Source organism: Homo sapiens, chromosome 3 (genome assembly GCF_000001405.40).
Source record: "Homo sapiens chromosome 3, GRCh38.p14 Primary Assembly".
In the NCBI taxonomy this organism is placed as follows: domain Eukaryota; kingdom Metazoa; phylum Chordata; class Mammalia; order Primates; family Hominidae; genus Homo; species Homo sapiens.
In genome coordinates this window covers 179,394,937-179,411,762 of record NC_000003.12, presented here as the reverse complement: position 1 = coordinate 179,411,762, position 16,826 = coordinate 179,394,937, and the positions used below count along the sequence as shown (strand labels likewise).

At 38.5% G+C, this 16,826-nt stretch overlaps 1 protein-coding gene across 5 annotated transcripts in view; it reads left to right on the top strand.

Annotated features, from left to right (window-relative positions):
* Positions 1-15,675, top strand: part of GNB4 (G protein subunit beta 4) — a 131,711-nt gene extending 116,036 nt beyond the window's left edge. For all 5 annotated transcript variants that reach the window (XM_047448654.1, XM_047448653.1, NM_021629.4 and 2 more), the window contains 2 exons: positions 6,357-6,573; positions 10,444-15,675. In XM_047448654.1, the coding sequence (XP_047304610.1) occupies positions 6,357-6,573; positions 10,444-10,550 (324 nt within the window). In that variant the 3' untranslated portion in view covers positions 10,551-15,675. The remainder of the gene's footprint in view (positions 1-6,356; positions 6,574-10,443) is intronic.

The window sequence follows — 16,826 nt, the reverse complement described above, 5'->3', positions numbered from 1 at the left end:
GAAAACATCAGAGAAAGTAAATGCTGTGCTAACCCCATCCCCACCTCTTTGCCGTAGGCCAACCTGGTTAGAATAATAGAGTTTTAGAGCAGGCAAAGTTAACCCTCTCTATCTCTCAGCCCATTACTTTTATCAAGTTGAGATGTTCTCTCATAATTTGCTAAAGTCTTTATGAGGAATGAGTGTTGAATTTTTGTCAAATACTTTTTGTCCGTCTGTTGAGATGTTCGTGTGGTTTTTTTTCAGCCACTTAAAATGGTGTGTTTACATTGATTTTCTCCTGTTTTTTTTTTTTTGTCAAAACATTAGTACCATCTTTTACAAATATAAGTAAATATAGAGGCTTCCTTTTGGAATAAAATGATTCAAACAAAGATACTGTATATATAACAGTTTTCCTTTTTTCAGATGAAATTATGACCAACTTCATTATATTTTTATAATATTTTGAAATTCAGTGATGATTTTAACAGTGACATTTCTCACACTGTTTAGAATGTTAGGCTTAGAAATGAAACTATAATAGTTTCATTTGTGGCTGAGCCCCATATATTCACTGAGTGAGTTGCTGAAATTTTCCATTTGGCTCTATATTTGTGGGGCCTCTAGGTGTCTCTCAGCAGTAAAGACACTTAATAATTGTAAACTGTGATTATTAATTTCATTAACTCAGTGCCAGATTCAGTTATTTCTATCATAGATCAAGGCTTTTTTCCTCCCCAGCCCCTACTTTATTAAGGTATAATTGACAAATTGTATATATTTACAGTGTATAATGTGATGTCGTATTAGATATGGGGCTATTTAGGTTATCCATTTCTTTTTGAGTGAACTTTCAAAGATTTTATCTATATCATCTACATTGTCATATTTATTGGCTTACAGCTATTTATTATACTCTCAATTTTTTTGATATCTATAGAGTTTACAGGATATCCTGCTCTCATTTATGATGTTGGTAATTTCTGTTTTACTTTTTTCCTGATAGTCTGGGACTGTGGGTTGAATTGTGCCCATCTAAAATTTATATGTTGAAGTCTTAAAGCCCAGGACCTCAGACCGTGACCTTATTTGAAAATAAGGTTGGTCCAGATATAATTGGTTAAAATGAGGTCATAATGGATTGGGTGACACTAATCCAGCGTGGCTATTGTCCTTATAAAAGGGGGAAGTTTGGAGACAGGCAAGCATAGAGGGAAGATGATGTGAAGAGACACAGGAGAAGACAGTCATCTACAGGACAGTGAGAAGATTACACATCTTTCTGTCACAGTCCTCAGATATCTTGGTTTCAAGTTTCTAGCCTCCAGAACTGTGAGACAATACATTCCTTTTGTTTAAGCCACCCAGCTTGTGGTGCTTTGTTATGGCAGCCTTAGCAATGAACATATCTATCTATCTATCTATCAATCAATAAATAAATCAACTATCTCCTCAGAGAACCAGCTTTTGTTCTGAGTGATACTCTGTTGTTTTTCTGTTTCATTGATCTTTCACTCTCATCTTTATTATTTCTTTTCTACTGCTTACTTGGTGTATTAGTTCGTTCTCACACTGCTATGAAGAAATACCTGATACTGGGTAATTTATAAAGAGAAGAGGTTTAATAGACTCACAGTTCTGCATGGCTGGGGAGGCCTCAGGAAACTTACAATCATGGTGGAAGGCACCTCTCCATAGGGCAGCAGGAGAGAGAATGAGTGCCGAGCGAAGGGGGAAGCCCCTTATAAACCATCAGATCTCGTGAGAACTCACTGTCACAAGAACAGCCTGCAGGGAGACCACTCCCATGATTCAGTTACCTTCCACCGGCTCCCTCACAACACGTGGGGATTTGGGGATTACAATGCAAGATGAGATTTGGGTGGGGAAACAAAGCCAAACTGATCACTCGGATTCACTGGCTTTTCTTTTTCTAGTTTTTTTTTTGTTTTGTTTTTTTGTTTTTTTTTTTGAGACAGAGTCTTGCTCTGTTGCGAGGCTGGAGTGTAGTGGTGCGATCTCGGCTCACTGCAACCTCTGCCTCCCAGTTTCAAGCAATTCTCCTGCCTCAGCCTTCGAAGTAACTGAGACTACAGGCGCACACCACCACGCCCAGCTAATTTTTGAATTTTTAGTAGAGAAGGGGTTTCACCATGTTGGCCAGGATGGTCTCGATCTCTTGACCTCGTGATCTGCCTGCCTCGGCCTCCCAAAGTGCTGGGATTACAGGCGTGAGTCACAGCCCCTGGCCTTTTTTTTTTTGTTTTTGAGATGGAGTTTCTCCCTTGTTGCCCAGGCTGGAGTGCAATGGCGTGATGTTGGCTCACCACAATCTCTGCCTCCCAGGTTCAAGTGATTCTCCTGCCTCAGCCTCCCGAGTACCTGGGATTACAGGCATGAGCCAACACACCCGGCTGATTTTTTTGTATTTTTAGTGGAGACGAGGTTTCTCCATGTGGTCAGGCTGGTCTCGAACTCCCGACCTCAGGTGATCCACCCACCTCGGCCTCCCAAAGTGCTGGGATTACAGGCATGAGCCACTGTGCACAGCCTTTTTTCTAGTTTTTTTAAGATAGAAGCTGATGTCATTGATTTGGAACTTTTTAAAATTTCTAATACTGGAACTTAAAGCCATAATTTTTTTTTTTTTTTTTTACTGGGTTTCACTGTCACCCAGGCTGGAGTGCAGTGGTGCAGTCATGGCTCACTGCAGCCTCGACTTCCCTGGGCCCAAGTAGCTGGGTATACAGGTGCGTGCCACCATGCCTGGCTATTTTGTGTGCGTGTGTGTATTTTTTGCAGAGATAGGGTCTTGCCATGTTGCCCAGGCTGGTCTCGAACTCCTGGGCTGAAGTGATCTTTTGTCTTAGCCTCCCAGAGTGCTCGGATTTCAGGAGTGAGCCACCATGCCTGGCCCTTCTTCATGTTTCTTGTGTTTGGATCTATGAGTTTCTTTTTTTTTTTGAGTTTCTTTCTTTTTCTTTTTTTTGATACTGACTCTCGCTCTGTCACCCAGGCTGGAGTGCAGTTGCATGATCTCGGCTCACTGCAACCTCCACCTCCCGGGTTCAAGCAATTCTCTTGCCTCAGCCTCCTGAGTAGCTGGGACTACAGGTGCACACTACCATGCCCGGCTAATTGTTTGTATTTTTAGTAGAGGCGGGGTTTTATTACATTGGCCAGGCTGGTCTTGAACTCCTGACCTCAGGTGATCTGTCTGCCTCGGCCTCCCAAAATGCTGGGATTAAAGGCGTGAGCCACCGCACCGAGCCCCTAATCAGATTTTTTTTTCTGTCTCCTCTCTTCCTTCCTTTGGAGACTTTAAGTTACATAGACATTAAACCACTTGAAGTTTTCCCAGAGCTCACTCATGTTCTGTTCATCTTATTGTTCAGGATATTTTTCTTTCTGTATTTTACTTTGGATGGGTCCTATTGCTTTGCCTTCATATGTCTTTTCTGTTGTATCTAATCGGCCGTGAACCCATCCAGTGCACTTTTCATCCCAGACGTTGTTGTCCTTGTCTGTTAATTTTATCTTCTGTGACTTTTTCTGTTTTTTTCAACTGATTAATTTTTCTCCTAATTATAGGTCATATTTTCTTGCTTTTTTGCATGTCTGGTGAATTTTTATTAGATACCAGACATTGTGAATTTTACCTTGTTGGATGCTAGATAATTTTATATTCATAAAAATATTATTTAGATTTGCTCTGGGGCATAGCTAAAATCAGACTGGCCAAGTTAAGTTACTTGGAAACTATTTGATCATTATAGGGTTTGCATGTAAGTTTTGTTAGATGGGACCAGAGTCACACCGTGTGTGCTTAATTTTGCCCCACTGGTGAGGCAAAAGACTTAAAACCCCTCTTCTCAAGAAATTACGAGGTTTTTCCGGTGTATAATGAGGTTATTATGAGGTTTTCCCTCTGTCTGGAGGGGATAGGCATTATTTTTGTCCTATGTACACACCAGGGTTTGTTTCCTGTAATCTTTTTGGGTGTCTTTTGCAGCTTGATTAGTTTTCTCACACGGCTCTGCTGATCGGTACTCAGTTGACTACCTAAAGGATGTCCTCAGCATGCCTCTGGAGTTTTCTCTTTGCCAAGCATTGTCCTCTCTGACACTCTCTGTGAACTCTAGCTGCTGTGGACTTCTTGGATTCCCAGTGCTTTCTCCTCAACTCAGGGAGGCCAGTGGGCTCCAGCTGCGTTTCTCTTCCCTTCACCATGACCTTTATAAACTTTCATAGTAAGATGGTAGTAAGGTAGTAAGATGGAGCAGCTGTAGGAATGATCTTATTTATTTATTTACTTACTTATTTTGAGACAGTCTCATTCTGTCACCCAGGCTGGAGTGCAGTGGCATGATCTCGGCTCACTGCAACCTCAGCCTTCTGGGTTCAAGTGATTCTCCTGCCTCAGCCTCCCAGGTAGCTGGGACTACAGGCACCCGCCAACACGCTGTGCTAATTTTTGTATTTTTGGTAGAGACGGGGTTTCACTATGTTGGGCAGGCTGGTCTTGAACTCCTGACCTCAGGTGATCTGCCCACCTCAGTCTCCCAAAGTGCTCGATTACAGGTGTGAGCCACCGTGCCTGGCCTGTTTTATTTATTGTTTCTCAGAGGCACGCTCCTTCGTTGACTGATATCCAATGTTTTTAGAACCATGTTTTATATATTTTTGTCCAGTTGTTTTTAGTTTTTTAAGGCATGGAGCAAATCCAATCACTGTTGCTCCATTTTGGCTGGAAGCAGAAGGATAGCCAAGAAGTAAATTTTTAAAAAATATCTTAGTTGAAGAAAAACATTGAGTAGAAGGTCCAAGGGTCTTATGAAGTACTTTTTAAAAAGTAATTAAAAGAGGGGCCAGGCGCTGTGGCTTATGCCCGTAATCTCAGTACTTTGGGAGGCTGAGGCAGGCAGATCACTTGAGGCCAGGAGTTTGAGACCACCCTGGCCAACATAATGAAACCCCGTCTCTACTAAAAATGCAAAAAAATTAGCCAGGCGTTGTGGTGCATGCCTGTAATCCCAGCTACTGAGGAGACTGAGGCAGGAGAAGCACTTGAACCCAGGAGGCAGAAGTTGTAGTGAGCTGAGATTGTACCACTGCACTCCAGCCTGGGTGACAGAGCAAGACTCTGTCTCAAAAATAACAAAAAAAAGTAATTAAAAGAAACCAACACATCCTGTTGAATTTAAGAGTATCAAAAGATGGGAGAAAATTCAAGATGAAAACGCAGATTACCTAGATATAAAAGATTAAAAACCAAGCTAACCTCACACTTTTTCACAATAGACACTGCTGAAAGGCTCCTGAACAGTATCTGCCAAGTGTTAAGGGAGAAATACTGTGACCCAATAATTTTAAGTATCAGAGATCATAGTCATGATGTGGGGAGGAAATACACTACATATAATACAGGATAAGAGATTAAGACCAAGAATAATCACTTAAGGCATTACACGTAAATGATTACTGCTATTAAAAGATACAGAATAAACTGAACTATAATGTTGTATGCAAGAAACACACCTAAAACAAAATGACCCAGGAAGGCTAAATGTAACAGTAAGAGAGTGGGTAAGTCATAAACTGGAAGGAAATCTGTAGTAATATTACTATATTACTATTAACCGAAGTAGAATTGGAGCAAAAACTATAAGATGAGAGAAGTTTTATCTTAATGAAAGGGACAGTAGTGATGCTATAACATTGAAATTCATAAAACAAAAGCCATTAAAAATTCAAGGACCCAAAACACCATTGTGTAGGAGACTTTAGTAGACAACTTGGAAATACTGATATCTTAAGAAGGCACGAAATAAGATGCTGAGGATTTGAATAGTGTTATTTAATAATGTTGACTTGAGAGTATATTGTAAATTGCACCATATTTGGGTTTTACCAAATACACAGTATATTACCTTTCTAAAATCTGAAAAATTCTGAATTCTGAAAAAGAACTGTCCCGAGGGGTCCTTATAACCCTATAAGGATTGTGGACCTTTTATCTCCTTGCCATTCGTTCTACAACAGCCACACACACACACATATATATTCTATAAATATTAGTACTTGCTTTAAATGTTTCAACATGACATATGGAGAACCAGAGCCAGTATTTGTTGAATACTTGCTGTGTTCTGAACAATGGGCTGTGTACTTTGCATATGTTATTTAATTCAGTCTTAATCACCACTTTGAAATGGAATCTGAGGCTCAAAATATTTAAGAATCTTTAGTGCCCAACATCGCTCACCTGGTAGGTAGCCAAGTTGGAATATTAATCTAGATTTGTCTATTATTACATTGCCTCCTATGATTGTGCATACATCTGTAGAATAAATGTTTGTTACTTTCCTGTCTAGTTTTTCCCAAATGGATATGCCTTCGCCACTGGCTCTGATGATGCCACTTGCCGGCTCTTTGACCTTCGTGCAGATCAAGAGTTATTATTGTATTCTCATGACAATATCATCTGTGGAATCACTTCTGTAGCCTTCTCAAAAAGTGGGCGTCTCTTGTTGGCTGGTTACGATGACTTTAATTGTAATGTATGGGACACGCTAAAAGGAGATCGTGCAGGTTAGTAAATAAGTCCACATTAGGTTCTGATTTTCAGGAAGCGTGAAGAGGTTCCCATCAGTTGTGTTCTAGGCCTCCATGGACATCTTGGAGTTGTGGAAAGTGGTAACCCGATGGTTCTCATCATGTTCTTTGTTGTTACCTTTTGTTTGTGGTTATAATCCATAAGCCATATTTACACTTTTGCTTTCTGAAGAATCACACTGAGGTCTGTAATATTTTCTTATTTGGTAGACTTCAGAATTAAAGATGGATAGTGAATGTGATTCAGTGTGGTCTTTTAGAAATCACACTTTTCTTATCACCTGACAGGAAACATTGTAACTGCTGGTTTTCTTCCTTCTGAAGCAGATCTTGTATGGGACAGGACATAGACCTGTCGCTTCCCTTAGCCCCATACCCTGAGTCCTCCTCTGCAGCTTCTACAAGATGACAATACACATTAAGCCATACTGGGGACTGTCATTAATAACAAGTCATACAGAGTAATTTTTAGCTATTTTTAAAAATCAAAATTATACTTAAAGGAATCCAGTTGTCCTATATAGCTTGTTACCAAAACACAGCAGTTGCTTCATCCCCAACCCATAGTTTCTGCTCCCCAAAGTAACTACATTTAGTAATTTACCTACCCCTCCTCTCTCCCCGCCCCCTTTGTTTTGTTTTGTTGGGACAGGGTCTCTTTATGTTGCTAAGGTTGGTTTCTTCCCGCCTCAGCCTCTGGAGTAGCTGGGATTACAGGCTTGAATCACCTCACCTGGCTTACTTACATATCTCTAAATAACATGCCTGTATTGCTGTTACTTGTTTAAAAAAATAAAAATTCAGGTGTTATCTGTTGTTGACCTATTATCATGGATGAGAAGGGTTGGGTTTTAAGCTGCTCCTGCCGTAGCCATGTTCTTCCCAACCAGTTTTTCCCATATGATAGATTTTGTTTAGAACCACATTCACTGTTTACATAATTCCGACTTTTTAAAAAGTCATTTGCTGCTGAGCCATGAGATGTGTTATGACTTCTTTTGCCATGCAGCTTTTTTGTATTTTCTAGAGTTAATTTTTTGGTTTATATTCTTAGTTTCTATGTGCTTCTCACTAATGAATCTTCACACTTTATGCCAGTTTTGATGTGTCTCGGAGCGGATCCATTTTCGTTCATTGTGCTGGGTATTTAGTGAGCCTTTTTGATCCGGAAACTCATTACCCTATAGAACAGGGACATTTGGGGGTGGGGGCTTGTTGAATTTTATTTCTTCTCTATTATCATCATTCCCTTTTTCTAGATCTCCCATTATGTTGAAAATGGGCTTCCTGGACTGATCCTTTTGACTTTTTTTGTTTTTTAAGAATTTTTATTTTACTTAACTTTATTTTATTTTATTTTATTTTTTTGAGACGGAGTCTTGCTCTGTTGCCCAGGCTGGAGTGCAGTGGCATGATCTTGGCTCACTGCAGCCTCTGCCTCCCAGGTTCCAGCGATTCTCCTGCCTCAGCCTCCCGAGTAGACTAGCTGGGATTACAAGTGCACACCACCACGCCCAGCTAATTTTTGTATTTTCAGTAGAGGTGGAGTTTCACCATGTTGGTCAGGCTGGTCTCGAACTCCTGACCTCAGGTGATCTGCCCACCTCAGCCTCCCAAAGTGCTGGGATTACAGGCGTGAGCCACTGCGCCCGGCCTGACTTTTTAATTATATTTTTTATTTTCCATCTTTTTTGCTTTATCTTCTGGGAGGAAACCTCACCTCAGGTTTCCACCCTTCTGTTAAGTTTTGGTTTTCATTTTCGCTACCATCTTTTTAACTTAAGAGCTATTATTAGTGAAAGAATTTTTTTTTTAAGTTTCTTCTTCAAGCATCATCTTTTGTGTTTCCAAGTTTTTTTTTTCTTCATTTTTGGGGTTTCCTGTCTTTATTTTTAGAATATTTCCTTAAAAGTGTTAATTCTTATTCATACTTAAGAGCGAGGCACTAAAACCATTTGAAGCTCTGGGCACGTGGCTGGTGTGCTGACTCGGCCTCCATTTACTCTAGGCTGGCCGTTCACTGAGGAAGCTTTGCTGTGTCTGCCTTTCTGCCTTTCTTCCTTTTTCCATCTTCCACTTTCCTCCATGAAGTGTATAAACTGGCTGCCAGTTTGAGGGCTGATTTCAAGAGAAAACCTGAGGGACCACAACATTTAGCTAGTAAACTTTATTCCCCATTTCAGCACAGTTTTATCAATCGCATCTGTGCCTGTTTTCTTCCAGTCAGGAGACCCTGTTTTACCCTTTCCTCTGAGTGAGTCTCTGGCCTTACGCCACAGCGCAGGATGATCTGTCACCTGACTGCAGAGTGGAGGAAGGGGACACCTGGGGGCTCTTACTGATTGATGAACACTTTCCAGCACAATCTTATTTTACTCTGCCTTTGCCCCTACCTGTTCCAGAGATACCTGGTTCTACCTAGTAGGGACACTTTTGGAGAATCTGCAGTGTAATTTTGTTACTTGGCTTACTATTCATTTTGAACTCAGTATTTTGGGGTTCATTAACACAGTTGCCACCATCCAGCTTACGAAAGTTCGTTGCCATTGCCTGCTCTCATCTCACTGTCCTTGTGGATTTATGTCCTTACCCTTTTAACCCCCGCTATGCAGTTGTTGGGGTTCCTGAGGGAGCAGAGGCAGTGTAAGTTTTTTCCAGGAATAATTTTCTACAACCTCTTTCAAGAGACTGCATGGTTTGCAGTTTTACACTTTGCAAGTAGATTCCTGGAAGTATTCCGTTGCTTAAGGCCAATTACCTTTTAAAGATATTTGGTGTTTTGCCTGGATTGAAACAATTAGTATCCATAACAAAATAAAAATGTGCTTGTTGTCCACACTTATATGCTTGAGGTTTAGTTTTGCTTTGCCTACAAGCTGGTTTCAGGTTGGCTCAACTGGAACTTTGAACTTAAAATTGGATCCTGACTTGTGAATTGCTAATTCATTTCCCTCTCCAGTGTGACTTAAAGTATTTAGCCACAATGTTCATTTTTTTTGTTATTTCAACTCATAATGGTAAATTTTCCCATTGCCAAACATGGCCATACTGGAGATACTATAGAGAATATTAAGAGTTACAAGATGAACTTCTGTTCCTGATTGATCGAAAATGATATGCTTAAGAATAGAGAGAGAGAATGCAAATTCAAACACTGTATTTAAAAATTTTGAGCATTTGATGTATTCTAATTTTTCTTATTAATCTTACTGTATTTCTTGTTTTCTTCCAAAATACTGGAAATACATCAAATGAGTTTAATGTGTGAAAGAAATGAAAACTAGATGAGTTTCATGGTTTCAGAAAGTTATAACCAATAACATTCCAGAGTTTGGTGATTAGCATAAGAAAGTAAATGAATTATGTTGGTATTCTTGGAAGCAGTGATGTGAGGCAGCTTTGTTCTTACGTTTTTGTCGTTCCTGTGGTGAAGGGCTCCTTCAGTGAACTTCATTGAAAATCTTGTTTTTGTTGAGAATAGCATACATAGCTCAGTAGCAAAATTTGGAATATCGAGAACTTATTAGAGATGTGGAATAATTGTCTGCATATGTTTTCCTAGATATAAGTTGAATTATAAGATGATTTTTCAAAAATTAAAACCACAAATTGATGCATGTCAAAATTCAAATAATCCAAATTTATAAATACATCCAGCTTACTCCTAACTTGTCTTCTTACTCAGAGAAATTTGTTGTTTTCTTTTAAATTATTATTATTTTTTAACTGATGAACTTTCAAGAAAACTGGACTGATAGTTTATAAGCACCCTTTTAAATCTCTGCATATACTTGTTTAATTCTAAAACCCTACAATTGCCAATTTTTTACTGAATTTTTTTTTCAGGTGTCCTTGCTGGTCATGACAACCGTGTGAGCTGCTTAGGTGTAACTGATGATGGCATGGCTGTGGCAACAGGCTCTTGGGACAGTTTTCTTAGAATCTGGAATTAACAGTGTCATACATATTTGTTCTCCATTGATATATCTGGAGAAATCAATGCTACAGCCTATAGCTGTGAAAAAATTCTACCTTATATTTGCAGGTGAAGATTTTTCTATTAGATTATCTACAAAAACAAGCTTTCAGTAAACTACCAAAAAAAAAGTGGGGGTGGAGGAAAAAAGGCAAAGGCGCCTTCTGAGATCAAAAGGACCAGTGTATTAATTTGAGGGGTTGGGTTATTTTAACCTTGGTGAATTGTTGTGTGTACTCAGAGTGTATTTTCTTTGTGTAGAACAGAATGTACACATTATAGCAGCTCGCCATTGTGTTTGCATTTTTTAAGAAGTACATTTTTAACTTTGTATACACAAGAAATGTCATATTTTTGAGTTTTGTAATGGAAGAACCAGGCACAGAAACAGACAGAAATGATACTGTATGTGTGTGTATTTATGTCTGAAGAAAGTCCCCTTGAATTCTGATATCTCTTTGAATCTAAGAGATCCTGATAGCTTCATGTTTAAGAGCATTGACAGGTGGGGCACCTCTGAGGGGAGTTCATTGTTTCTCATGCATCATTTGCCATATACTATTAATCAAAGTGCTTGCTTTCAGTCCTTTGAGGGGACAGATAATCTGAAGGCCAGAGATTAGAGATTTCACTGATATTTTGGACATACATAAGAAACATCATTATAATTAATAAAAAGTAGGTAATAGCATATAAATGGTTCTTGACATTTTAAAAGCCTGGTTATGATCAGTTGACACTTTGAGTACCCCCCTAAATAGCTGGACTTTCCTTTTCATTTCATATTTGGAACTAAGTTTGTAGCGTATACTCATCTTTCAGAAGTTTGGTAAACATTGGGATTGTCCCTGCATCTGAACATCTTTCCCAGTGCTATCAGTATACATCTAGAGAGGAAATGCAATGTGACAGTGTTACATTTGGAGAGAAGTGTGAAATCTAACCAATCGCTAGCACATATTTGTTGTAATACGGTGGTTTATTTCATGTTTGCATACTATAAAATCTGAATTGATGTGAAATATCTGTGCCTTTAAATTTCTTAAACCTTTAAGCTTTTTGTTCTGTTTTGCAACATTTTGTAGTATTTCTTCCCTTCCTTAGCACAAAATACTGGTTTCTAAGTGGTTTTGCTTCAAAGGATGTCTAGATGTAAGTGATTCCACTTAAAGCCAAAATAAAAATTCCTAAAGCAGTTCTTAAAGGAGTTAGAGAGCTATATTAAACAGTTTTTCTGTGGTATAATAATGTGTCTCTTACTAGAAGTCCCCCACGACCAAGTTAAAGATACTTTTCCTGTTGGATTCTCTTTTACAAATAAGTCTAAATGACTGATAATAGAAGATTGTTAGTCTTGCTTGATGGTAAAGTCTTGGATTATTCTGATATATAGACGTGCATTGTTTTGTAACTTAGTTACTTTTCAGATAGGTCTGTGTTAACTTTTGAACATGTGTAACTTAACCTAAATACTCCCAAACTTTACCTCTAAATTTTTGTTTTTATGTTGTGAATGTGCTAATATGTGCATCAACTGTAAAGATGTATCAGTTTTATTAAAATCAGTTGACAATTAGAATAATAAAGTGGATAAAGGCAAATTAAGATATAGGACCAAAACAGAATATTGTAGATGGCAGTTATGAATGTATATTTATATTTTGATTAAGATTTCTATTAACTTTTTGGCTGGGCAGAGTGGCTTACACCTATAATCCCAGCAATTTGGGAGGCCAAGGTGGGCAGATCACTTGAGGTCAGGAGTTCGCGACCAGCCTACCCAACATGGTGAAACCCCATCTCTTCTAAAAATACAAACATTAGCCGGGCGTGGTGGCACATTCCTGTAATCCCAGCTACTCGGGAGGCTGAGGCAGGAGATTCGCCTGAACCCGGGAGGCAGAGGTTGCAGTGAGCCGAGATTGTGCCACTGCACTCCAGCCTAGGCGACAGAGTGAGACTCCATCTCAAATTGGAAAAAAAAAAAATTATATGAACTTTTGCTATTAATGTTTATTTGTAGGCTATTTATATCACTTCATAAAGAACAGTTCTTTGAGAAAAGAATAAAGGAATGTATTCATTTCCAGAAAAAGAGGGTTGGGGAAAGTTTGCCATGTAGGTTAGTCAGAAGAAAGCAATTCTATTATGCATAAAAATAACCTTAAATATGTAAGAGAGTATCTCCTCTACTTAAAAGTTATTATAGTAGTCACAGGCATACAGACCACAGGAATTCTATGGTCTTAACATATTTTAAAATTACATTTATTTTAATGTTCTTAAAGTTTATGAAGAGGAGTTTAAAGCAATTCCCATAATTAAATATTTACTCGGCAACTAAAAACTATTTAACACTTGTGGTTAATTATACACATAAACAAATGGCGACAGAGTAGCCTCACTACCACAATTACTTCATGGTTACACCTTTGCTTTCTAATAATAGGGGCTCCAGTTGCTAAATATATTTGTTTACTTACAGTTTAAGTTGAGCTGATTGTTGAATTCTGTTATTGTTCCTGAATTCAATGAGTATATAATTTGTAGAGATGTTGAATAGTTTGGATCTTAGTTTTTAAGGCTGAAAAATCTGGCTGGATTTAGTTTTTAAAAATTTGCATCATCAAGAATATTGCAGTTAATGTTCCTTTTTTTTTTTTTTTAAAGACAGAGTCTCACTCTGTCACCCAGGCTGGAGTGTACAGTGGTGTGATTTTGGCTCATTGCAACCTCAACCTCTGCCTCCTGGGTTCAAGCAATTCTTGTGCCTCAGCCTCCCAAGTAGCTGGGACTATAGGCATGTGCCACCATGCCCGGCTAATTTTTGTATTTTTAGTAGAGATGGGGTTTCACCATCTTGGCCAGTCTGATCTCGTACTCCTGGCCTCAAGTGATCCACCAGCCTCAGCCTCCCAAAGTGCTGGGATTACAGACGTGAGCCACCGTGCCCAGCCAGGTTTCCTTCTTTACCTTCTAAGAAACATTTAAACATAATGTGCCTGAGAAGGTTAATTTGTTGACTCTGTAGCATGTCAAGAAGAGTAGTTTTTTGAGATCTGGCAAGAATATTTTAGAGATACATATTCTTTTCTAAGTATGTTATCACCCTGTGGTGTTGAGCATATCGTCCCAAAAACCTGCTTCAGCAAGCAGTTCTTGGCCAGGCATGGTGGCTCACACCTGTAATCCCAGCACTTTGGGAGGCCGAGGCAGGTGGATCACGAGGTCAGGAGTTCAAGACCAGCCTGGCCAAGATGGTGAAACCCCATCTCTACTAAAAATACAAAAATTAGCCGGGCGTGGAGGTGGGCGCCTGTCAGCTACTCGTGAGGCTGAGGCAGAGAATTACTTGAACTCAGGAGGTGGAGGTTTTGGTGAGCTGAGATGGCGCCACTGCACTCCAACCCGAGCGACAGAGCAAGATTCCGTCCCAAAAAGAAAAAGCAGTTTTTGCCATCAGCAAGGATATCTCCTCCACTTTAATGGACAGGCCTCATTTTTGGCAGCTATGCTGTTTGAGATGTAGACTGAATATCCAAGGTTCCTCCCTAGCTCAAGTTTTTACTTGTGATTACACACACCACATTGAATTCCGTCTTCAGAGGCAAAGATTTGGGCTTCATATCTCAACAGCAAAAGGGCCTGTTCAGCAATTCCCTTCATTTTAGACTCATATGACCTCAGCGATTGCATGATAGTAGTAAACTAGTCTCCTGGAAATAATGGATGTAGGTGCTTCTAGAATATGTTACAGAATTTCAGACTTAACCTATTAATAGATAAATGGATCTTGACTTAAGGTGACAAAATGAAACTTTTATTATTGCTTAAAAATGCTGTGCCAATATTGTATAACTAGCTCCTCTAATACTTTTGGTATTTTGGATTTAATAATAAGACCTTAAGCATTTTAAATGTGAACATGTTCAGGGAAGTATGCTTTGATGTAAATGTCTCAGATCTAAGTTGTAACACAATTGAATACTTGTGGCTTATTCTTGGTTTAACTTAGGAAAACTGGTTAAACAATCCCCCATTTGGGCCTGTCATCATTTTAATAGTGACGATGTTCTTTCTGAAATCTTCAGGGTCGGAGTCAGGCTGAATTTTTTTAAAAATTAAATATTATGTTCAAATTCTTTCCTTTTTGCCATTGTGAAAAAGCAAAATTTTAAATGATTTCTCCTGTTAGAATTTTTAAAAATACCCACAGGTTGGACCATCTTTCTTATGGGTTGCACAATGAATTTATATTTTAAATTAGATTAAGTAGAATGTGAAGTACATTTCAGATTTACTAGTTTTCTTTCCATTGTTCATTTTGGGTTGCCTCAGATTCAGTGTATATTTTAAAATATTGGTTACATAATAGGTACTCAATGAAATGGTTTATAGTAGAATATCTAAGCTAGCACTTTATTTTAAAAAGTAACTTATTAATTAATCACACATTGATGGTACACCTTGTATTTAGCAAATGTTTGCATGTTGATAAAATCTCCTATGTCTTCTTTCTTAAATCCAGTTGCTGATTTTGTAAAATACAGTTGTGATAAAGCAGCATTACGGGGGGGAAAAAGCTATATTCCAACTGGTGTTAAATGTATTCAACAAAATCTTACATCATACAGTATTTATTTCTTAATTAATAGAACTTCAGTGATATACTTGGTAGATATCTCAAGCCTTTTGTCTTTTACACAATGGTGCTCTATCCTATTGTTTTCTTTTCAAAGAAGCATCTGAACACTTGCATTTCTATTTTCCTATCCAAAGGCATCCACATCTAAGTGTGTTTTTAAAGTTGATTAAAATTATTTTTCTGTTAAAGCATTCTGAAAGTGTTTGTCTTTACCTAGAATGATTTGTACACACTCGTGGTCAACTGAACATGAATGTCAGTAGTAGTCTAATTATGGGAAGGGTAAACGTGTTAGATTAAGGCTCTTAAAGCTCTAAACCATATAAACTATGGACTTGTATCATGATTTAACTGTTCTTAGATCTTTCTTACACAGTGATTCATTCCTCTATTTGTACAGTGGCTTTATGAAATGTTGTGAATTGATACTGTAATCAATAAAGTGCTTTTAACCAGATTTCATTGTATTTTTTTATGCCACAATTTTTTTTTTTTTTTGAGAGTGTTACTCTCTTGCCCAGGCTGGAGTACAGTGGTGTCGTCATGGTTTACTGCAACCTCAGCCTCCCGTGCTCAAGTGATCATCCCACTTCAGCCTCTGGAGTAGATGGGACTATGGGTACGTGCATGCCACTATGCCCAGTTAATTTTTATATTTTTTGTAGAGACAGGGTCTATGTTGCCCAGGCTGGTCTTGAACTCCTGGGCTCAAGAGATCTGCCTGCCCCAGCCTCCTAAAGTGCTGGGATTATAGGCGTGAACTACCATGCCCAGCCAATTTTTTATAAAAAGTTTTTATTGAGACAGGGGTCTTGCTTTGTTGCCCAGGCATGTCTCGAACTCCTGGCTTTAAGGGACCATCCCACCCTGATCTCCCAAACTGCTGGGATTGCAGGCTTGAGCCAACAAGCCTGGCCTCTGTAATTTTTAAATAAGCGATGCTGCCTATGGTGTTGATTAATTAATTATCTTATCTTTACTACTTTCTTTCACCACCACACCCTTGGGGGAGGATGAGGGTGGAAATTAAGATAAAAAGATGTTATATAATATTAATTATTTACAGATTATCATCTTAAATTTACTTCAAAATGTGGGAGATGATAAAACACCTTTAGCCATGAGTTGGTAATTCTTGAAGCTGGGCAATGGAGTAATGAAGGTTTATTATGCTTTCCTGGTTATCTCTGTCCTTGTTTAATATTATTCTATAATAAAATGTTTCTTTCCCTTAAACTTATGAGTCCGTGGAGGGGCACATAGCACTACAGGTTGAAGCAGAGGGCAAGAATAAACTCCCCTTTGACACTAAATTAGTTCTATTGTCCAGTGAAGAGTACTAAGTAAGTACCTGTAAATTGTTATGTTTAAGGTAGAAAACTTCTTGAAATGTGCTCCTCTGACGGTATTGTATGACATCTTATACTAATGACTGGTGTATGTAACTCTGACTTACTTACTTACCCTTTTAATGCTTGCCCAGAAGAACTAAACAAACAGTAATGCAGTCAAAAGAGGTCTACTTAAGATAACTTACATATCTACCATAAAAGTAATTAAGAATGAAAGATAAAAACTCACTAAATACTAGTATAAATGCTACATTTG